General features: G+C 37.8%; 2 protein-coding genes across 48 annotated transcripts in view; both read left to right on the forward strand.

The window, feature by feature from the left end:
- The window catches only part of RANBP2 (RAN binding protein 2), a 1,122,820-nt gene that overhangs the window by 74,202 nt on the left and 1,024,793 nt on the right, over positions 1-23,825 (forward strand). The window lies entirely within an intron of this gene.
- The window catches only part of CCDC138 (coiled-coil domain containing 138), a 98,736-nt gene that overhangs the window by 6,934 nt on the left and 67,977 nt on the right, over positions 1-23,825 (forward strand). For 32 of the 47 annotated variants that reach the window (NR_147236.2, NR_147237.2, NR_130121.2 and 29 more), the window contains 6 exon segments: positions 857-1,038; positions 4,745-4,903; positions 11,206-11,325; positions 18,948-19,025; positions 19,137-19,244; positions 22,258-22,422. Coding sequence is in view for 41 of the 47 variants with exons in the window: in NM_001351557.1 (NP_001338486.1) it covers positions 857-1,038; positions 4,745-4,903; positions 11,206-11,325; positions 18,948-19,025; positions 19,137-19,244; positions 22,258-22,422 (812 nt within the window). In the remaining 6 variants the exon portion in view is untranslated. 47 annotated transcript variants of the gene reach the window in all.

Below are 23,825 nucleotides of genomic sequence, written 5' to 3' on the forward strand. Positions count from 1 at the left end.
CCTCCCGGATTCACGCCACTCTCCTGCCTCAGCCTCCCGAGTAGCTGGGACTACAGGCACCCGCCATCACGCCCGGCTAATTTTTTTTTTTTGTATTTTTAGTAGAGACGGGATTTCACCGTGTTAGCCAGGATGGTCTCAATCTCCTGACCTCATGATCCGCCCGCCTCGGCCTCCCAAAGTGCTGGGATTATAGGCGTGAGCCACCGCGCCCTGCCACCCTCAGGAAACTCTTAAACTTGTACACCAGAAGCCACGTACGAGACTGTAGCATCTGTATAGCCAAATCAGCTCAAATTTCCACCTATAGGAGGATGCTGTATACAGTGTTTGCAAAATAGGATATACAGTGAAGATTTGTGAACCTGTTTAAAAGAAGAGGTTATAGAAATTATGTTAATATAATTACATATAAAATATAAAAGGCAAAACAAGCAAGGACTTTTAAGATTAAGTAGTGGAGATTAAACAGCAAAGCAAAGCAGCATGTAACACTTACTTGCATTAGTGGTAAATTTGGTTTAGGGGAGAGAGGGGAACATGATTAGGGGCTTTTAAGGTTGCTTTCCATTTCTTGGCAATTAGTGTCTTTTTATATCCTTTAAAATATTTTATTTTGAAATCATTTCAGACTTACAGAAAAGTTGCAAAGATAGTGCAATCAATTGCTGTATACCCTTCACCCAAATTTTCGATGTTACCACTTTACCATATTTGCTATATTTTTCTTTGTCTCTCTTGAAACTTTTTAATGTTATATTTTGTACTTAAAGCATCTCTTCCTAAAGGTTACTCTGAGAATATTTGAAACAATAAGTTAATAAAGTTTATAATGCAAATGTTATTTTCTTTGCAGTTGCCTTGCCAACTAATACGACCTCATCGAGACCTCGGACTGAGTGTTGTAGTGATGCAGGTGACTCTCCTTTGAAACCTGTCAGCTGTCCAAAATCTAAAGCATCAGACAAGCGGAGTTTACTTCCACATCAGATCAGTCAGATATATGACGAATTATTTCAGATACATCTGAAATTGCAGGTAAGAACTAAATACTGAATCGAGAATTCAGAAATATTTATGTTCTAAGAACCAAGCATTTACGAAATTTGAATATAATATATTTCATTTTAATTACTTTAGATAAGTTTGTCAAGAGAAGGACGGAAGGGGACAAACTCAAATTATAGGGACTAATGAAGGGAAAAATACAGTGGCTGAGAGAAAATAGAGACAGTGGCGTTTTTATTTGTAGGTGTGTGTTTCAGACTGTCTTGTATTTTATTTGATTTCCATCCCATCCTTACTTAAGTAATAAAATCTGATAAAGTATGGTTTTTGATGTAGATGCTCTAGCTTTATTGTTTTAAGTACTTATATATAAAAAGTCTTCTTGTCAACTCTCATCAAAATTGAACTCTTAACATTTGCTTATTATCTGCCTTTCGGGTTTTTTGTTTCTAAAGTGTATTTTTTTTTTTTTTTTTTTTTTGCGATGGAATCTTGCTGTATCACCCAGGCTGGAGTGCTGTGGTGTGATCTTGGCTCACTGCGGCCTCCGCCTCCTGGGTTCCAGTGATTCTCCTGCCTCAGCCTCCTGAGTAGCTGGGATTACAGGTGCACCCCATCCCGCCCAGCCAATTTTTTGTATTTTTAGTAGAGATGGGGTTTCACCATGTTGGCTAGGCTGGTCTTGAACTTCTGACCTCAGGTGATCTGCCCCCACTTGGCCTCCCAAAGTGCTGGGATTACAGGCGTGAGCCACAGTGCCCAGCCTAAAGAGTATAATTTATATATTAAGCATCCACGAGAAGTAGAGAAGGAAGCAGAAGTGTATGTAATGCGCAGTATCTGTTTGAAATTCTTCCCGTTGGAAACACATGAAATAGTTAAGCATTTCTTTAAAACCAGTATTTCGTTTTGTCAAAGTAATTCAGATTGTAATTACCATAGCATTTTAGAAAAAGATTATTTTAGCCTAAAATCACCAGGAAAAGTTTAGGGAGAGACTTAATCTGGTCTTTGACTGAGAAAGATAATAGTGGAAAGGGCATTCCAGGTGTAAGGAATTGGAAATGAGAGGTGTTCTGAAAAGCAGTGATTGTCCAATTGTGCATTTATTAGCCTGTCTGGAAGAAAGAAAATAATGAAAACTCAGGCTGGGTATTTTACAAGTTTTTAAGCAAAGGAATGTCAGAGTAAAAAGTCAGGTTTTAGGAAGATTCCTTTGATAACACTTTATAGGATAAAAAAGAATAGGCAAGATTGCAAGGATGTATCTATCATTTGTAGCAAACAAAGATGTTTAATAAGAAAAAAATGAAGTGCAATGGATTAACTGGTTTAATCAGTCTATAGTTTATTTTTATTTATTTATTTATTTTTTTGAGACGGAGTCTCACTCTGTGCCCAGGCTGGAGTGCAGTGGCGCAATCTCGGCTCACTGCAAGCTCCGCCTCCTGGGTTCATGCCATTCTCCTGCCTCAGCCTCCCGAGTAGCTGGGACTACAGGCACCTGCCACCGCGCCCGGCTAATTTTTTTTTTTTGTATTTTTAGTAGAGATGGGGTTTCACTGTGTTAGCCAGGATGGTCTCGATCTCCTGACCTCGTGATCCGCCCGCCTCTGCCTCCCAAAGTGCTGGGATTACAGGCGTGAGCCACCGCGCCTGGCCAAATCAGTCTATAGTTTAATCTGACTTTAAAATTTACTTTGTAAGTACAGCCACTGTGGAAAACACTTTGGAGGTTCCTTAAACTATAAGTAGAACTACCGTATGATCCAGCAATCCCACTCCTGGGTATATCCCCGAAAAAAGAAAACGGCGTATCGAAGAGATACCTGCACTCCCTTGTTCATTGCAGCTCTGTTCATAATAACCGAAATATGGAGTCAGTCTCAGTGTCCATTGGCAGATAAAGAAAATGTGGTATCTATACACAATGGAATATTATTCAGCCATAAAAAGAATGAAATCTTATCATTGACAGCAGCATAGATAGAATTGGAGGTCATTATATTAAGAGAAATAAGCCAGGCACAGAAGGACAGACATTGCATGTTCTCACTCGTGTGGGGTGGGAACTAAAGAAGTGGGTCTCATAGAAATAGAGATGGAATGGTGGTTACCAGAGGCTGGGAGGGGAAGGGTAGCAGGGGTGAAGAGAGGTTAGTTAATGGGTACAAAAATACAGTTAGATAGGAGTAAGTTTCAGTATTTACTAGTACAATAGGGAAATTATAGTTAATGATAATTTATTGTATATTTTAAAGTGGCTAGAGAAGAATTGTAATGTTCTCAACACAAAGAAAGAATAAATGTTTGAGGTAATAGATATCCCCATCACCTTGGTGAGGATGTTAAGTAGGCTGTTTGGACTTGACTTTGGAGCCTGTGAGAAAGATCTGAGCAGTTGTAGGTTGGGAACAATTAGCATATACTTGGTAATTTTAGCCATTGAGTGGATATAATTAAGCAGAAAGGGTATAAGGAATGAGAAGGAAAATTGCTCCAGCCCAAATCATAAGGAATATTAGTAATTAAGTGACAGTAGAGGAAGCAGAGCCTATAAAGGAGCCTGAGAAGCCATGGCCAGAGAGAGTTGGTGGAAAACTAGGAGAATGGTGTCATGGAAACCAATGAAGGAGAGCATTTTAAGTTGGAGGAAAGAGACGGCAGTATAAAATGCTATTGAGAGAATCAATAAAATAAGGACTGAAAAGTGACCTTTAGATTTAGTAATAGGTAAGTCATTTCAATAGAGGAATATGGGCTGAAGCCAGTCTTAAGTGAGTTGAGGAGTGATTCTGAAATGAGAGACCTCAGCAAATGTAGATGGTTGTAAAGGGGAGGAGGTGAGTGGGTGGGGCCAAGAGAGATTTTAGTTCAGATGGGGTGGGAGAGATTCAAAATAATAGAGGGATAATCAGCAGAGCAGTCTTCACAGGATGGCTTAAGGCAATATGATCCTGAGCCTGCCTTTTTAATGAGGGAAGGAGAAGCATGTATATATGTATTTTATGAGAAAGAGATTGATGTTTTCTTATGCTGTCTTCTGTTTTTTCCCTGTGAAGTTAGAGACCAGGCTATTCACAAAGAGTGGAATATAGGACATGATGTATTCCAAATTAGTAGAATGGAGAAGGCTCAAAATAGACACTTTGGAGAATGAGGGAGAGAGAGTTGGCTGTGAACATATAAAAAGATTTTTGGACTGCATTGAGAATCTAGTACAGGATTGAGACCATGAATTCGCAATGGGGCCACTTTTCACGGTGTGTGATTTTTTTTTTTTTTTTCTCCAGTGGTACTTAGCTGAGTAGCATGGGACCAGGGAAGGTGATCAGTGTGCTAATCTAGACCTCGTTCTTTCAGCCCAAGGTGATAGACAACAAGATGAGGGAGTGGAGGGTATAGGTAAAATAGTGGACTATGATGTGGAAGCAGAGCATGGAATTTAAGCTGGATCGGGAACTAAATCTGCATAGTGCTGATCCATTTTGGACCCTAAATTCTCTTGCATCATCACAGTGGACTCTTACTATAGTGTCATATCATTTAAAATCAAGATATAATTTCTGTGCAAGTTTACTTGCTATACTAGTCTAGCTACTGTAATCCAGATTGTCCTTAGGTACCCCTGTATTCCTGAAAACCACTTGGTTAAACCACAGTGTCAGCCAATAGGAATATAATTTGCAGAATTTGTGACTTTTCAAGAGCATTAAAGTCTGGCATTTTGATACAGTGTGAAACTGCAGCACAACAGAAATTTGCTGAAGAACTTCAAAAGCGAGAACGTTTTTTACTTGAAAGAGAACAACTGCTTTTCAGACATGAAAATGCCTTGAGTAAAATTAAAGGTGTTGAAGAAGAGGTTCTTACAAGATTTCAAATTATAAAAGAGGTAACTATATAGCCTTTGATTTTAGAGTGGTATATTTCTTCTTTTCTTCTTAGATTCACTAGTTACTAACATTTTGTCACATTTGCTTATTTCTCCTTCCCTTCCTCCTCCTCTCCACGCCTACACACACACACACACACACACACACACACACTTTTTCTGATCCATTTGAAAGCACATTTTGGCACATTTGCTTATTTCTCCTTCCCTTCCTCCTCCTCTCCACACCTACACACACACACACACACACACACACACACACACACATTTTTTCTGATCCATTTGAAAGCAGTTTGTAAAAATCATGATTCTGTCCCTAAATACCTCAGTATGTATCTCCTAAGAATAAAGACATTCTCCAGACCATTAGCGCATATCAGGAAATTAATGCTAACTAAATAACTTATTTATAGTCCATGTTTACTTTCTCAGTTGGTCTTCAGTATGTCTTTTATTGTTTGTGGGGCGGGGGGGTTGTTTGTTTGATCAAGCAACTAGACAAGATTCATGCGTTATATTTGGTTGTTATATCTTTTTGGTTTCTTTGAATCTAGAGCACTCAACCTCACCATCTTTGAAGAATTCAGGCCAGCATTCTTATATGTCACATTGTGGATTTGCCTGATTGCTTCGTAACGATAATATGTAGACAAAATATTTTTGGCAAGGATATTGTATAGGTGGTATAATATACCTTGCTTCATATTAAGATATATTTTACTGTACATATAACTTACTTGGAGTAAAATTCATTGTTGTACATTTCTATGAGTTTTGAAAAATGCATTCAGTTTTGTAATCACAACCATCAACAAGATCAAGAGTAGTTCAGCTCGCCAGCAGTTCCCTTACGCTCTCTTGTAGCTATCCCTTTCCTCCAGCCTCAGCCCTTGGCAACCACTGACCTATTTTCTGTCCCAGTACATCTGCCTTTTCCAGAATGTCATGTTAATAGCATCATTTTATGATTTTTCTTTATCTTTGGTTTTCAGTAGCAGTTTATTTACAGTGTTTCTTGACATGCTTTTCTTTCAGTTTGTTCTGTTTGTGGTTAACTGAGCTTCTTCAATTTGGAAATTTCTGTCTTTGGCCAAATTTGGGGAATCTTCAGCCAATATTTCATCAAATATTTTTTCCACTTTCTTTCTTGTCTTCTCTTGGATCTCCAGTGACTCCTTGTGCTATTTCCCCAAAGATTTCTGAGGCTCCATTCCTTTTTTTCCCATTATTTTCTTCAGTGTTCTTCAGATAGTTTCTTGATCCATCTTAAAGTTCATTATTTCTTTTTTAATCTCCATGTTGCTATTGAGCCCATCTAGTGAAATTTTTATTTTTGATATTTAAAAATTCTAAAATTTCAAGTTGTTTAAAAAATTTATTTTTGTTTTTCTCATAAGCATTTCTGTCTTTATATTTACATCTATATATATTTACTTTTACCTCATGGAGCATAGTTTAAAAACTATGTATCACCTGTATCATCTCAAGATAGGGATCTGTTGATTATCTTTTTTCTTGAGGCTTAGTCACATTGTTTGGTTCTTTGTATGTTCAGTGATTTTTAGGGTATATTCAAGACCTTCTGGTTAATGCATAGATTTTGGGTTCTATTGTTACCTTCTGGAGAATATTATTGATTTTAAAGCATTCAGCAATTAGATTTAGGCCTCACTTTTTTTGTTGTTGTTGTTTTGTTTTGAGATAGTCTCGCTCTGTCATCCAGGCTGGAGTACAGTGGCACGATCTCGGCTCACTACAACCTCCACTTCCTGGGTTCAAGCGATTCTCCTGCCTTAATCTCCTGAGTAGCTGGGAATACAGGCGCCCACCACCATGCCCGGCTAATTTTTGTATTTTTAGTAGGGACGGGGTTTCACCATGTTGGTCAGGCTGGTCTTGAATTCCTGACCTCAAGCAATCCACCTGCCTCGCCCTCCCAAAGTGCTGGGATCACAGGCGTGCCTGGCCAGGCCTCAGTTTTTTCTCACCTCCTCTGGGCAGTGGTTCTCATCTCAGTTTAGCTTTTTTTTTTTTTTTTTTTTTTTTTTTTTTAATTATACTTTAAGTTTTAGGGTACATGTGCACATTGTGCAGGTTAGTTACACATGTATACATGTGCCATGCTGGTGCGCTGCACCCACTAACTCATCATCTAGCATTAGGTATATCTCCCAATGCTATCCCTCCCCACTCCCCCCACCCCACCACAGTCCCCAGAGTGTGATATTCCCCTTCCTGTGTCCATGTGATCTCATTGTTCAATTCCCACCTATGAGTGAGAATATGCGGTGTTTGGTTTTTTGTTCTTGCGATAGTTTACTGAGAATGATGGTTTCCAGTTTCATCCATGTCCCTACAAAGGACATAAACTCATCATTTTTTATGGCTGCATAGTATTCCATGGTATATATGTGCCACATTTTCTTAATCCAGTCTATCATTGTTGGACATTTGGGTTGGTTCCAAGTCTTTGCTATTGTGAATAATGCCACAATAAACATACGTGTGCATGTGTCTTTATAGCAGCATGATTTATAGTCCTTTGGGTATATACCCAGTAATGGGATGGCTGGGTCAAATGGTATTTCTAGTTCTAGATCCCTGAGGAATCGCCACACTGACTTCCACCATGGTTGAACTAGTTTACAGTCCCACCAACAGTGTAAAAGTGTTCCTATTTCTCCACATCCTCTCCAGCACCTGTTGTTTCCTGACTTTTTAATGATTGCCATTCTAACTGGTGTGAGATGGTATCTCATAGTGGTTTTGATTTGCATTTCTCTGATGGCCAGTGATGATGAGCATTTTTTCATGTGTTTTTTGGCTGCATAAATGTCTTCTTTTGAGAAGTGTCTGTTCATGTCCTTCGCCCACTTTTTGATGGGGTTGTTTGTTTTTTTCTTGTAAATTTGTTTGAGTTCATTGTAGATTCTGGATATTAGCCCTTTGTCAGATGAGTAGGTTGTGAAAATTTTCTCCCATGTTGTAGGTTGCCTGTTCACTCTGATGGTAGTTTCTTTTGCTGTGCAGAAGCTCTTTAGTTTAATTAGATCCCATTTGTCAATTTTGTCTTTTGTTGCCATTGCTTTTGGTGTTTTGGACATGAAGTCCTTGCCCACGCCTATGTCCTGAATGGTAATGCCTAGGTTTTCTTCTAGGGTTTTTATGGTTTTAGGTCTAACGTTTAAATCTTTAATCCATCTTGAATTGATTTTTGTATAAGGTGTAAGGAAGGGATCCAGTTTCAGCTTTCTACATATGGCTAGCCAGTTTTTCCAGCACCATTTATTAAATAGGGAATCCTTTCCCCATTGCTTGTTTTTCTCAGGTTTGTCAAAGATCAGATAGTTGTAGGTATGCGGCGTTATTTCTGAGGGCTCTGTTCTGTTCCATTGATCTATATCTCTGTTTTGGTACCAGTACCATGCTGTTTTGGTTACTGTAGCCTTGTAGTATAGTTTGAAGTCAGGTAGTGTGATGGCTCCAGCTTTGTTCTTTTGGCTTAGGATTGACTTGGCGATGCGGGCTCTTTTTTGGTTCCATATGAACTTTAAAGTAGGTTTTTCCAATTCTGTGAAGAAAGTCATTGGTAGCTTGATGGGGATGGCATTGAATCTGTAAATTACCTTGGGCAGTATGGCCATTTTCACGATATTGATTCTTCCTACCCATGAGCATGGAATGTTCTTCCATTTGTTTGTATCCTCTTTTATTTCCTTGAGCAGTGGTTTGTAGTTCTCCTTGAAGAGGTCCTTCACATCCCTTGTAAGTTGGATTCCTAGGTATTTTATTCTCTTTGAAGCAATTGTGAATGGGAGTTCACTCATGATGTGGCTCTCTGTTTGTCTGTTGTTGGTGTATAAGAATGCTTGTGATTTTTGTACATTGATTTTGTATCCTGAGACTTTGCTGAAGTTGCTTATCAGCTTAAGGAGATTTTGGGCTGAGACGATAGGGTTTTCTAGATAAACAATCATGTCGTCTGCAAACAGGGACAATTTGACTTCCTCTTTTCCTAACTGAATACCTTTTATTTCCTTCTCCTGCCTGATTGCCCTGGCCAGAACTTCCAACACTATGTTGAATAGGAGTGGTGAGAGAAGGCATCCCTGTCTTGTGCCAGTTTTCAAAGGGAATGCTTCCAGTTTTTGCCCATTCAGTATGATATCGGCTGTGGGTTTGTCATAGATAGCTCTTATTATTTTGAAATACGTCCCATCAATACCTAATTTATTGAGAGTTTTCAGCATGAAGGGTTGTTGAATTTTGTCAAAGGCTTTTTCTGCATCTGTTGAGATAATCACGTGGTTTTTGTCTTTGGCTCTGTTTATATGCTGGATTACATTTATTGATTTGCGTATATTGAACCAGCCTTGCATCCCAGGGATGAAGCCCACTTTGCTTTCAAAGCCTTTGCAATGTTGCTGTGGAGTTGTCTTGTGCCTGTGCCTCTTAAAGGTTGGTCTGAGACTTGGGTAACAGTTTAAAATCCTAATGCATTTCTCAAAGCTTTTGCTATGCTGCTCTGGGTGTTTTTTGTGCAGGTAAAGAGGCATTAAAGTGTTAGCCAAGACTTAGGTAATAGTTTTAAACTGAGCTCCATTCTCCAAGCGTTTGCTCTACTGCTTTTGGTCTGTCCTGTGCCCGCCTGAGCGGCTCAAAGTTGAGCCCAATTTGTACAGGTTCGTAAACACCAGAGTGAGAGGATCCTCTGTTTGAGTCTCTCTTCTGCGGGATTCTCCCCACACTCTGGCTCATAGAGGCCCCTCTTCCTGATTATCTTGCCAGGAAGACTGGTTTTCTCTCATTTCTTTAGTGGACATTTTTTAGAGCTTTAGTGGAAATTAAAAAAAAATTTTTTTTTAATTGTTTTAGAGACAGAGTCTTGCTGTGTTGCCCAGGCTGGAGCGCAGTGGCTATGCACAGACGTCATCATAGCTCACTGCACCCTCAAGTCATCTTCCTCCCTCAGCCTCCTGAGTGCCTGGGACTACAGATGTGCACCACTGTGCCCAGCTAGTGGAAGTTTTTGTTCTACTTCTCCATGTCTGGGACCCACCCTGAGGCAAAATGTTGAGAGAAGAGCAAAAACAAAAATGCAGGAAACTTTACCCTTGAGGGTTGCTTCTACAAGTTTTCTCTCCCATCACAATGTCCTCCCCTTTTTTCTTTTCACAGTTGTCAGTTAGTTGTTTTATGGTTTATTTAGGGCTTTTAGCTATAATCAGTGGGAGAAGAGTGTATTGAGCTTATCCTGCTGTGCTAGAAATGGAATGCATATGTTTTTAGTATCTTTTAGATATGGAAAAAGTTGGACAATGAAAATATTAGTTTTAAAAATAACTGTATTTGTGACTATATCCTAAGTTATTTAAGGAATCAATATAGTAATAAAGTCATACAAAGATTAACTTCTTAGAATATTGGATTTTTTTCACAGGGCTAAAGAATGCTTAGATTCTCTGATCTCTCCATTTTTGTCTTATTCTTGATTCTCTTTAGATTTGTGTATCTATTTTTATTAAGTATAAGGATAACTGCCTTATTTTCATCGTATTTATATCACTACTTGGAAGAAGGGAATTAATTCAATTTTTTGATTTCCTGTAGAAACTTGTTTTAAAGCTTTATAAGTAAGTTGAAAGTGAAAGGTGAAACTATTAAGTATTCACATTTAAAATCTAAAACATGCTATCCCATTTAAATGTAATTAGAGGGGAAGTTGATTTGAATTATTTATAGAACTGATTAAGAAGAGTCAAATAGTTTGGGGCTAAGAAATTTTATTATGTATCTAACATATTTTGAGATGAAAAGCAGGCATCAAAAATTTTAGCTGCTTTATGAGGACAAGAAATTAGTTGGTTTTATGAAAGATTTCTTTCATTTCTCAAAGGTAATGTAAATTATACACTTTATAAAGCCATAAATAGCTTATCTCTTGAAGAGTATCAGAAATTCTTTACTGTTTTATTATTCCATGATGTCAAAGAAAATATTTCCATGAGTTTGTGTGAGTGGATTTTTCTGAGCAGAAGCAGAAAATAGACTCATTGCTACTTTGTAAATGCTAATATGTTTTAATAAGTATGTTGTAAATGCCTTTGATGTTTTGTTGTTATCTTGGTAGATTGCATGGTTTTTATAAATTACTTGCCACACTAGTCACTTGTGCTTGCATACACTGATTAAAGTTTTTGTGATTGAAGGAGTTCTTACTTGTAATTAATTCACGTTCCATAGTATTAGTGATATACAGTCCTTACAAGTTTTAGATGAGAGTTTTTTTTTTCTCCTCCTAGCAGCATGATGCAGAAGTTGAACACTTAACCGAAGTTCTTAAGGAAAAGAATAAAGAAACCAAGAGACTGAGGTCCTCTTTTGATGCATTGAAAGAATTGAATGATACCTTAAAAAAACAGGTAAGACCTGTTTTAATATATACTGAACATAAGACATTCTAAGAAGTATATTTTATATATAACAAATTAAAGTCAGCCTTAGAACACGTTTCAGCTAGAGAAAATTTGGATTACATTTGTTAGCTTTATTTTAAAATACTTCCAAATGTAAATAAAGTATTCTTTAGCTCTTTGGTCTCTTCTCTTTATTTGTTCTGGCAACCAACTGACAAACAAAAGAAAAAAACCTGATAACCTGAGAACTGATTACATTTTTAGGTACTGATCTCTGGCTTTAATACTTATTATTTATCACTACTTATTTAACATTCATTTATTTTTGAGTATCTATTATATCCTAGGCATCATGCTAGACTCAGACCTTCACATTGCTCATGTTCTCATGGTTATAAACTGGTATCACATTGCAGTATACTTATTTATATAAGTATTGCAGGCCAGGCGCGGTGGCTCACGCCTGTAATCCCAGCACTTTGGGAGGCTGAGGTGGGCGGATCACGAGGTCAGGAGTTCGAGACCATCCTGGCTAACACAGTGAAACCCCGTCTCTACCAAAAATACAAAAAAAAATAGCTGGGCGTGATGGCGGGCGCCTGTAGTCCCAGCTACTCGGGAGGCTGAGGCAGGAGAATGTCGTGAACCCAGGAGGCGGAGCTTGCAGTGAGCCGAGATTGTGCCACTGCACTCCAGCCTGGGCGACAGAGCGAGACTGTCTCAAAAAAAAAAAAATTGTAATTTAGATTAATATATAATACCAGAGTTGCATAACATAAATAGTTTTGTGAGTTATGTCTATTTTTTTCCTTCCATCTGCCAGTTTTTGGCAGAAAGATGTGAAAGTAAAGGAGTATGTTAAAGAGAGACAAGAGAATGATTATGTATATATTAGATTGTGTGGGGAGTAGATGTTGGAGCAGAAATTGGAGTAAACCCCGTCACTTTGAAAATGAAAGCATTGGGCTGGGAATCTGTATGGATTATGTAACTTAAGCCTCAGACTCTCCTAGAGTTCCTTTGCCAGCTGTCCTTTTCTGTTTCTGCTTTTGTTTCCCTTTAATCTCTACTTGTTGTGATCCTCCTCCTTGGCAGTGATACATAGGTACCCTTTTTCTCACCTGATCTAATTCTTTAGCTTCCTCATTTCATTTATGGCTGTTACTATTAGACTTATGAATTTGACAGCCTGTTGTCTGTTTGGAATCCCACTTTATCCATGGAGAGATTGCTCTTTCTCATTACAGTCTCATTCTACCACTCTCTTGTGAGGATTTTAAAAATTCCTAGCATAGATAAACTGTTGCCCATACCTATCTCTTAGGTTTCTGTAATCCTTAATAATTTTGCATGTAGTTGCATGAGTGTGTGGTAATTGGGGTGGATATGTGGATTATTAAATATTTGGACCTATTGATAATTGGATTTATGAGCTAATGTGTACAAACTGAAAAAATTTGGCAGAATGCTTTTTTATGGTTTCTGTGTTAAGATTAGATCAGAGGTCAGCACGCTTTTTCTGTTAAGGACTAGATAGTAAGTACTTTGGGCTTTGTAGGCCATGTGGTCTCTCTTTCAGTGACCCAGCTCTGCCATCGTAATGCGAAAACAGCCATAGGCAATAAGTAACGAGCGTGGCTGTGTTCCAAAACGACTGTATTCATAAAAACAAGCAATGGGCATATTTAGCCAGCTCCTGGCTAGATGAATAACATGTACTTTGAAATTGCTGAAGAAAAAGATATGTTATTTCTGTGACTGACTTACATAGTAATTTATGCTAACACTGGATATACATTTTCTAATAATTTAAAAGCATTTCTCATTAAGTCTAGCCAAGCTGAGGAGGCAAGGATTAATGTTCAAGCTTCATCATAGGGAGATAGTCCCAGTGAACACCCCAGGATCTCAGTTGAAAGGAGCAGCATTGTGCCTTGGGACTGGGTGAATTAGAGGGAGACAGAACTTTCCTAAACTGAAACCTGGCCTTGATTAAGTGCAGTTCCTGATCAGATTAAGGTGCTTACTCCTCAGTTTAAATGCCTAGCAGAGGAAAATATGTCTTTCATTCTATACAAAATTAATAAGCATGTCAAAAGACAGAATTGCATAACTGAGAATGAAGAAAAAAACCCCAGAGAATATAAGCATACTTGCGAGTGATCCAGATATTGGAATTTAACAGGCAATGACTTTAAAATAATGATTAATATGTTCAAGAAAGTAGAAAAATAGATTGACAACTTCATTAGAGAATTCCTAGCATAGGTCCATTTTTGCCTATATAATAAGTCTATGGAAAGGAATTAAATTGAAATTTGAAAACTAAAAAATACATCAATTGAATTTAAGAACTCCATTGAATGGGGTTTTAAAATTATTTTTAATTGACATAATTATGCATAATTATGGGGTACAGTGATATTTGATACAGTAATGTGTAATGATCACAGTAATTAGCTAATCCATCAGCTCAAACATTTATCATCTCTTTGTATTGGAAATATTCAAAATCCTCTCTTTATCTATGTGAAAATATACCATAAATTGTTGATTGTAGTTACCCTGTAGTGCTATAAAGCTAGAACTTATTCCTCTTATCTGGTTCTTCTTTTTGTTTTGTTTTGTTTTTTTGAGATGAGTCTCATTCTGATGCCCAGGCAGGAGTGCAGTGGCATGATCTCGGCTCACTGCAACCTCTGCCTTCTGGACTCAAGCGATTCTCCTGCCTCAGCCTCCCGAGTATCTGGGATTACAGGCGCCCACCACCACACCTGGCTAATTTTTGTATTTTTAGTAGAGATGGGGTTTCACCATGTTGGCCAGGGTGGTCTCAAACCAAGTGATCCACCTGCCTCGGCCTCCCGAAGTGCTCGGATTACAGGCCTGAGCCACTGTACCCAGCCCCTCCTATCCAGTTCTAATTTTGTGTTTGTTAGCCAACTTCTCCACATTCCTTCCTTTCCACAGCCATCCCAACCTCTAGTAACCAATATTATATTCTGTACTTCTGTGAGATCAACTTGTTTTTTAGCTTCCACATGAGTAAGAACATGTGGTATTTATCATTCTGTACTTGGCTTATTTCACTTAACATAAGTGTGTGGTAAGGTCTTTCAGGTTCATCCATGTTGCTGCAAATGACAAGATTTTGTTCTTTTTCATAGCTGAACAGTATTTCATTGTGTATGTATAAAGAAAATGTGGTTATAAAGAAAATGTATAACCACATTTTCTTCATAAATTTATCTATCGATGGACACATAGGTTGGCTACTTTCCATACTTTGGCTATTGCAAATACTGCTGCAGTAAACATGGGAGTGCAGATATCTCTTCAATATACTGATTTTCTCTCCTGTGAATATATACCCAGAAGTGGTATTGCAGGATCATATGGTAGTTGTGTTTTCGTTTTTTTGGGAACCTGAATACTTGTGTTTTTCGTAATGGCTGTGCTAATTTATATCCCCACCAACAATGTAAAAGAGTTTCCCTTCTCCACATCCTCACCAACGTTTATTACTTTTTGTCTTTTTCATAGCCTTTCTAACTGGGATGAGATTGATACCTGATCATGGTTTCGATTTGCATTAACCTGATGATTAGTGATATTGAGCATTTTTTCATATACCTGTTGGCTGTTTGTATGCCTTTGTTTGAGAAATGTCTAGTCAGATTATTTACCCATTTTTTATTTGGATTATTATTTTTTTGCTGTTGAGTTCCTTGTATTGTCTGGATTTTCACCCTAGTTGGATGAATAGTTTGCATATATTTTCTCCTATTCTGCAGGTTGTATCATTATTCTTTTTATTGTTTCCAATCTCATTTGTCTGTTTTTGCTTTTGTTGCTTGTGCTTTTGAGGTCTTATCCATAGTATCTTTGCCCAGGCGATTGTCGTGAACTATTTCCCATTTTTTCCTCTAGTAGTTGCATAGTTTTGGGTCTTATATTTCAAAGTCTTTAATCCATTTTGGGTTGATTTTTGTCTGTGATGGGAGATGGGGGTCTAGTTTTATTCTTAGGCATATGGATATCCATTTCCTGCATGATTTGTTGAGGAGACTGTCATCTCCCTTATTAATGTTGTTGGCACCTTTGTAGAAAATCAGTTGGCTGTAAATGTGTGGATTTATTTCTGAGTTCTCTATGCTGTTCCATTAGTCTATGTGTCTGTTTTTATGCCAATACTATGCTGTTCTGGTTACTACAGTTTTGTAGTATATTTTGAGTTTAGGTAGTGTAATGCCTCCAGTTTTGTTGTTTTCGCACAGGATCGCTTTCGCTTATTTGGGGTCTTTCATGATTTCATACACAGTTTAGAATTTTTTTCTATTTCTGTGAAGGATGTTGTTGGTATTTTAATAAACATTATGTTGAATCTGTAGATGACTTTGGTTATTTTGACAGTATTAATTGTTCCAGTCCATGAACATGAAATGTTGTGTGTGTGTGTGTGTGTGTGTGTGTGTGTGTGTGTGTGATCTTCAGTTTCATTCATCAGTGTTTTATAGTTTTCATCGTGGAAATCTTTCACTTCCTTGGTTAAATTTATTCCCAGCTATTTTATTTTATTTTTGTAGCCATTGTAAACAGGATAGATTTCTTTCTTTCTTTTTCAGTTAGTTTGTTGTTAGTGTTTGGAAATGCTACTGATTTTTGTATGTTGATTTTGTGTCCTTCAACTTTACCAAATTTATCAGTTCTGAGAAATTTTTGGTGGAGTCTTTCGGTTTCTTTGCATTGAAGATCATGTCATCCAAAGAAGGACAATTTGACTCATTTCCAATTTTTGTTTGTTTGTTTGTTTGTTTGTTTGTGATGGAGTCTCACTCTGTCGCCCAGGCTGGAGTGCAGCAGCACGATATCTGCTCACTGCAACCTCCACCTCCTGGGTTCACACAATTCTCCTGCCTCAGCCTCCTGAGTAGCTGGGATTACAGGCATGTGCCACCACATCTGGCCAATTTTTGTACTTTTAGTAGAGACGGGGTTTTGCTGTATTGGCCAGGGTGGTCTTGAACTCCTGGCCTCAGGTGATCCGCCTGCCTCGGCCTCCCATATTGCTGAGATTACAGGCATGAGTCACCACACCCAGCCTGTTATTTCCAATTTGGATGTCTTTTATTTCTTTTTCTTGCTTAATTACTCTGGCTAGTACTTCTAGTACCATGTTCAACAAGAGTGGTGAGAATGAGCATCCTTGTCTTGTTCTAGTTCTTAGAGGAAAAATTTTCAGCTTTTCCCTGTTCAGTATGATGTTAATTGTGTGTTTGTTATATATAGCTTTTAATGTGTTGAAGTACATTCCTTCTGTACCTAATTTTTTGAGAGTTTTTACTGTGAAGAGATGTTGTTGAATTTTATCAAATACTTTTTCTGTGTCTATTGAAATGATCGTAAGGTAATTATATTTCATTCTGTTATACTCTTCATTCTGTTAAAACGTGATTATCACATTTTTTTATTTGCATATTTGAGCCTTCCTGTGTCCCTGGGATAAATCTCACTTGGTTATGGTATATTATCTTTTTGGTGTGTTGTTGAATTTGGTTTGCTAATATTTTGTTGAGGATTTTTGCATCTATGTTCATCAGGAATATTGGCCTGGAGTTTTCTTGTTGTGTCTTGGTTTGGTTTTGGTATCATGGTAGTGCTGGCTTTGTACAATGAGTTTGGAAGAATTCTCTACCCTTCAGTTTTTTGGGATAGTTTGAGAATTGGTATTTGTTCTTTAAAAGTTTTAATTCAGCAGTGAAGTCATTGAGTGAATTTAAAAGTACAGTTCAGCAGTGAAGCCATTTAGTTCGGGCTTTTCTTTGTTGGGAAACTTTTTACTACAATTCAATCTTGTTACTTATGATTGGTCTGTTCTAGTTTTCTGTTTCTTCTTGGTTCAGTCTTACGTTATATGTGCCTAGGAGTTTATCCATTTCCTCTAGGTTTTCCGGTTTGTTGGCATATAGTTGTTTCATAATGATCTCTGTAGTCTCTAGTGATCCTTGTATTTCTGTGGTACTGCTTGTAATGTCTCCCTTTTTGTTTCCGATTTTTCCGATTTTATCTGTTTGGGTCTTTTCTCCTTTTTTCTTTTCTTTTTTTTTTTCTTTTTTCTTTCCTTCTTCCCTTCTTCCCCTCCCTCTGCCTTCCCTACCCCCCTAACCCTGCCTTCCTTTTCTGTTTCCTTCCCTTCCTTCCCTTGCTACTATTTCTTCTCTCCCTTTTCTTTCTTTCTCTCTCTCTTTTTTTTTTTTTTTGACTGTCTCCCTCTGTCTCCCAGGTTGAAGTGCAGTGGCATGACCACGGCTTACTACATGTAGCCTTAACCTCCAGGGCTTAAACCACGCTTCTGCTTCAGCCTCCTTAGTAGCTGGGACTGCAGGCATGCACCACCACCTCTAGTTAATTTTTTAATTTTGTTGTAGAGATGAGGTCTTATTGTGTTGCTGAGGCTGGTCTTGAACTGGGCTCAAGTGATCCTCCTGCCTCACCCTCCCAAAGTGCTGGGATTACAGGTGTGAGCTACTGCACTCAGCCTCTTCTTTTTTCTTAGTCTAGCTCATGGTTTGTTGGTTTTTTTATTTTTTCAAAAAGCCACTTTTCATTTTTTAAGAAAATTATTTTAGATTCAGAGGGTACATGTGCAGCTTTGTTACATGGATATATTGTGTAACAGTGAGGTCTGGGCTTCTAAAATGTACTCTTCACTCAAATAGTGAACATTGTACCCAGTAGGTTAATTTTCAACCCCTACCCCTCTCCCCTCTTCCCTTTTGTAGTCCCTAGTATCTGTTATTTCCATCTTTATGTCCATATGTGTGTACCCATTGTTTATCTTTGACTTATAAATGAGAACATACAGTATTTAATTTTCTGTTTCTAAGTTATTTCACTTAGGATTAATGACCTCCAGCTCCATCCATGTTGCTGCAGAAGACATGATTTCATTCTTTACTATGGCCACATAGTATTCTATTCATGGTGTATATATATCACAAATTTTATTGTAAGATACCATAAGTAATATAATAAAAAAATAATTGGATACCCAGGAATAAATCTAAAGAGAGATGTGCAAGACATCTCTACTTGAAAACTACAAAACATTATTAAAAGAAAATAAAACCTAAATAAATTGAAGATATGTTCATGGATAGGAAGACTCAATATTCTTCCTTTCCATATATAGGAAGTCAGTTCTTCCATATATATATACATATCAGTATATACACAGACACATATACACATAGTCCCAGTAATGCAATCCCAGTTATAGCTCATTGTACTGCATACTTAGGATTTTATACTTTTCTTTATATGTGTTATAGTTCAGATAACAGTGTACTTATTAATAAAAACATTTTCACTAAAATATATGTATATGCTTTTAAGACATCTGGAGTCTTGTACATTTTTCATAAAATGAAGTAAATGATCTTACAAACCATTAATATTTTAGGGAAAAACGACAACTTCAGTTGTGATCTAAGTTAATCATGAATGCTGTCTCTGTTTTGTTACATTGGTTAGTAATATCAACCAGATTAGATAGTAGATTGGGAAACCCTTAGTATGAAACCAGTTGAAGGTGTATATTGAAATATCTAACTTTTTCTACCCTTTAGTTAAATGAAGCAAGTGAAGAAAACAGGAAGATAGACATTCAGGCTAAAAGAGTTCAAGCTCGTTTAGATAATTTACAGGTAAGTTGCCTGTTCTTCTCTACAGACAGAAGTATGTTTTTAGATGATTACCTTTGAGTTTACTCATTTAGATACAATTGTTCTTTAATTCACGCATATATACTGTTGCAGAGGAAGTACGAGTTTATGACAATACAGAGATTGAAAGGAAGTTCCCATGCTGTTCATGAAATGAAAAGTTTAAAACAAGAAAAAGCACCAGTTTCAAAAACTTACAAGGTAAGTTTGAATTATGATTTGATATGATTGAAAATTTCTCGGCTGGGTACGGTGGCTCACACCTGTAATCCCAGCACTTTGGGAGGCTGAGATGGGCGGATCACGATGTCAGGAGATCGAGACCATCCTGGCCAACATGGTGAAACCCCGTTTCTACTAAAAATACAGAAAATTAGCCAGGCATGGTGGCACACGCCTGTAGTCCCAGCTACTCGAGAGGCTGAGGCAGGAGAATTGCTGGAACCTGGGAGGCGGAGGTTGCAGTGAGCCGAGATTGCACCACTGCACTCCAGCCTGGGCGACAGAGTGAGACTCCGTCTCAAAAAAAAAAAAAAAAAAAAAAAAGAAAATTTCTCCAATGGAAAGCCAGGAAGATTTCTCTTGTGCTTTAATCTTTTCTCTTTGATTTAGCAAACATTCTTTTTGGAATGTTTGCTATGGAAGGGATTCACCATAATAATTTTTTAATAGGGAAATATCTCAAGAATATTTAAAATATACTTTCATTTGTGAAAACAAAACTATTATATTTCAGCAGTGTTTCAGGTACGTATCATTGACACATCATTAATGGCTTTATTGCTTAGTATGTTTTGACACTCCACAAGCATTTGCTATTATATTTCAGTCAAGACTACAACCCATCCCTGAATGGATTTCCATATGTCTTTTTTTCCCTAAGAATTTTTAAAATTTGAGATATAAATTACATATGGTAACATAATGCAGAAATCCTTTAGTGTAAAGTTTGATTAATTTTGATAAATATTTCATGTTGTCTATAACCAAATACAGAATACTTCCACTATCCTAGAATATAGAACTTTCCACTATCCTAGAAAGTTCTCTAATACCCTTTCCTGGTCATTCTTTTCTGCCAGAAGTTTTGCAGAAATTAGTTTTGCCTGTTTGAGACATTTGGTCAGTGGAATTGTATTGTGTGTACTTGTTTGTGTAAGGCTTTTCTCAGCATAATTATGAGTGTATCAGTAGTTTGTTCCTTACTATTGCTCAATAGTATTTCATTGTATGACTGTATCAGAGTTTGTTCCTTCATTCTTCTGTTGATAGACACCTGGGCTTTTTCTAGTTTTTGTCTGCAATAAATAAAGCTGCTACGAATATTGGTGTACAGAGTTTTTATGGATGTATGTTTTCATTTCTTTTGGATATATACCAGGACTACAATTTCTGGGTCATAAGGTCGATAAAGGTAGATGTATGTTTTTAAGAAACTGACAGTTTTCCAAATTGGTTGTACTGTTTTGTGTACAAATGGGAGTGTAATGATACACTCCCATTAACAGTGTATCAAAGTTTTGGTTGCTCCACAACCTTGTCAACATTTGGTGTTTTCAGTTTTCTTCATTTTGACCCTTCCAGTGGGTGTGTAGTAGTATCTTATTATGGGCTTTGATCATTTTGATATTTTGATAAATTTTCTAGTTCTTTATAAATTGAGAAAATTGGAGTAAATTGAAAAGGTACAGACTTTATATTCAGGGACTGAAGATAATCGAAGTTTTCATCTAAAGGGAGTTAGTTTCTATTTGAAAAAAATTGAGAAAGTGAAAAATTGCTCTTCAGAATAATGTGGTAATGCTACTATTTATCATTTTGTCTTTAGTCATTCTGATTGTGTGGATTGCCATCGGCTTAATGTTGCCTATTTATTAATTTGCTTTTATATTTCTCTGTCTTTGAATTTTTTTGTTTTTTTATTTTTTAATTTATTAATATTTTTAATTTTTTTTTTTTTGAGATGGGGTCTCACTCTGTCACCCAGGCTGGAGTGCAGTGGTGCAACCTTTGCCTTCTGGGTTCAAGCCTCCCGAAGAGATGGGATTACAGGCGCCCACCACCACGCCTGGCTAATTTTTATATTTTTAGTAGAGACAGCGTTTCACCATGTTGGCTAGGCTGGTTTCAATCTCCTGACCTCTGGTGATCCACCTGCCTCTGCCTCCCAAAGTGCTGGGATTATAGGCATGAGCCACCACATCTGGCCTGCAGATTTTTAAAAAAATAAATTTAACATAGTTCCCTCCTTAAGGTGGATATGTGTAGTGGTATCTTATTAAAAAAAATTGAATTAAATTAGAAATGTGTTTTGTAATAATACTTAGTCTAATTAAATTTATAAATTACTTTGTTATTTTACTTTTCATTTTGGTAGGCTGTCAGAGGACAAGATTTCTAGGAAAAAAATGTTCATATGTGTATTGAATGATATACTGGAAAGACAAAGTAACAATTTTTGTGAGAAGAGAAAGATAAGTTTCATAGTGGAAATTCTTTAGCTCTGGAAACCATTAATTTTTTTTAGAGTCTTTTAATTGTGGTGATTCATGCTCTTAAGTTAAGGCTAATTTTACTTTTTTTCCATCTTATCAAACTTGGATAAAGAATTTTTATGAAAAGTTTTCTTTTAGTAATAAGGTACAGTTATTCCAACTTCCTGATTATGACTTTTCTTGCCTTCTCTCAGTTGTCATTTAACATGTTTTTAATATTAGTTGGGGAGGTTTTTGGTGTTTTTTTTTTTTTTTTTTTTTTTGAGATGGAGTCTTGCTCTTTTGCCCAGATTGGTGTGCAGTGGTGCGATCTCGGCTCACTGCAGCCTCCACCTCCTGGTTCAGGTGATTCTCCTCCCTCAGCCTTCCGAGTAGCTGGGATTACAGGCATGCACCACCATGCCCAGCTAATTTTATTTTTAGTAAAGACAGGTTTTGCCATGTTGGACAGGCTGGTCTCGAACTCCTAGGGAACTTCAGGTGATCCACCCACCTCAGCCTCCCAAAGTGGTGGGATTACAGGCTTGAGCCACTGCGCCAGGCAGGTTGGGGAGGTTTGATTTGGAATTCTTTTGTTTGTTTGGAGAAGCTCTGTCCTTAACACATTTTAGTGAATTACTTTAGTCAAATTATTCTTATTACTTAACAAATTTAAGGTTTGTCTTTGAAGTTTTATGAAGTTGTGAACTGAAATAAATGATTTAATTTTTGACATATAGGTACCACTTAATGGGCAAGTTTATGAACTTTTAACTGTCTTCATGGACTGGATTTCGGATCATCATCTTAGCAAAGTGAAACATGAAGAATCTGGAATGGATGGTAAAAAACCACAACTCAAATTTGCTTCCCAGAGAAATGATATTCAGGAGAAGTGTGTAAAGGTTTGTTTTTTAATTTGAAATATGTGATTCAGAATATATGAAGATTAAAAAAGGAAAAGCCAGGGCCAGGCACAGTGGCTCACGTCTATAATCCCATCACTTTGGGAGTTCGAGCTGGGCAGATCACCTGAGGTCAGGAGTTTAAGACCAGCCTGGGCAACGTGGTGCAACCCCGTCTCTACTAAAAATACAAAAAATAGGTGGGCATTTTGGCACGTGCCTGTAATCTCAGCTACTTGGGAGGCTGAGGCAGGAGAAACGCTTGAATCTGGGAGGTGGAGGTTGCAGTGAGCCAAGATTGCAGCACTGCACTCCAGCCTGGGCAACAGAGCAAGACTCTGTTTCAAAAGAAAAAAACAAAAAACAAATTTGAGGGGCTGCCTCTGATGAGGCCCTTCTTCCTGGTCTCCTGCAGAGTCCAGAGGTGATGCAGGGTATCACATGGCTGGGGGCTGAGTGTGCTAGCTGAGGTCTGTCTCCCTTTTATAAAGCCACCAGTCCAGTTCCCATGATAATCCATTAATCCATGAACCCTTGGATGAATTAATGCTTTCATGAGGGCATCCCTCATAACCCAGTCACCTCTTTTTTAAAAAGCTTTTGTGTTAGAGATGGGGTCTCCTTGTGTCACCTAGGCTGGAGTGCAGTGGCCCAGTCATTGCTTACTGCAGCCTCCAAACTCCTAGCCTCAAGTAGTCTTCCTGCCTCATCCCTTTGAGTAGGGTCTACAGGTATACACCACCTTGCCAGCTAATTTTTAAAAAAAATTTTTGTAGAGATCAGACCTGGCTTCATTGCACAGAATGATCTTGAACTCTTAGCTTCAAGCATTCCTCCTGCCTTGGCCTCCCAAAGTGTTGTCATTACAGATGTGGGCCACTGTGCCCAGACCCAGTCACTTCTTAAAGGCCCCACTTATCAATACTGTCATATTGGGAATTAAGTTTCAACATGACTTTTGGAGGAAACAAACGTTCAAACCATAGCACATGGCAAAAGGGAATTAAAGTTGTTAATCAGCTGACCTTAAAATAGGGAGGTTATCCAGGATTATGTGGGTGGTCCTGGTAATCACACAAACTTTTTAAACCAGAAGGATTCAGAAGAGTAGGTCAGAGACTCAACCCCCTCTTGCTGGCTTTTGAAGATGGAGAAAGAGGGCCATGAGACATGGAATTCAGATAATCTTTTTTCTTTTTTTTTTTTGAGGCGGAGTTTTGCTCTGTTGCCAGGCTGGAGTGCAGTGGTGCCATCTTGGCTCACTGCAGCCTCCACCTCCCGGGTTCAAGTGATTCTCCTGCCTCAGTCTCCCAAGTAGCTGAGACTACAGGTGTGTGCCACCACGCCCAGCTAATTTTTGTATTTTTAGTAGAGACGGGGTTGCACTGTGTTGGCCAGGATAG

The sequence above is a fragment of the Homo sapiens genome, chromosome 2 (assembly GCF_000001405.40).
Source record: "Homo sapiens chromosome 2, GRCh38.p14 Primary Assembly".
Classification (NCBI taxonomy): Eukaryota; Metazoa; Chordata; class Mammalia; order Primates; family Hominidae; genus Homo; species Homo sapiens.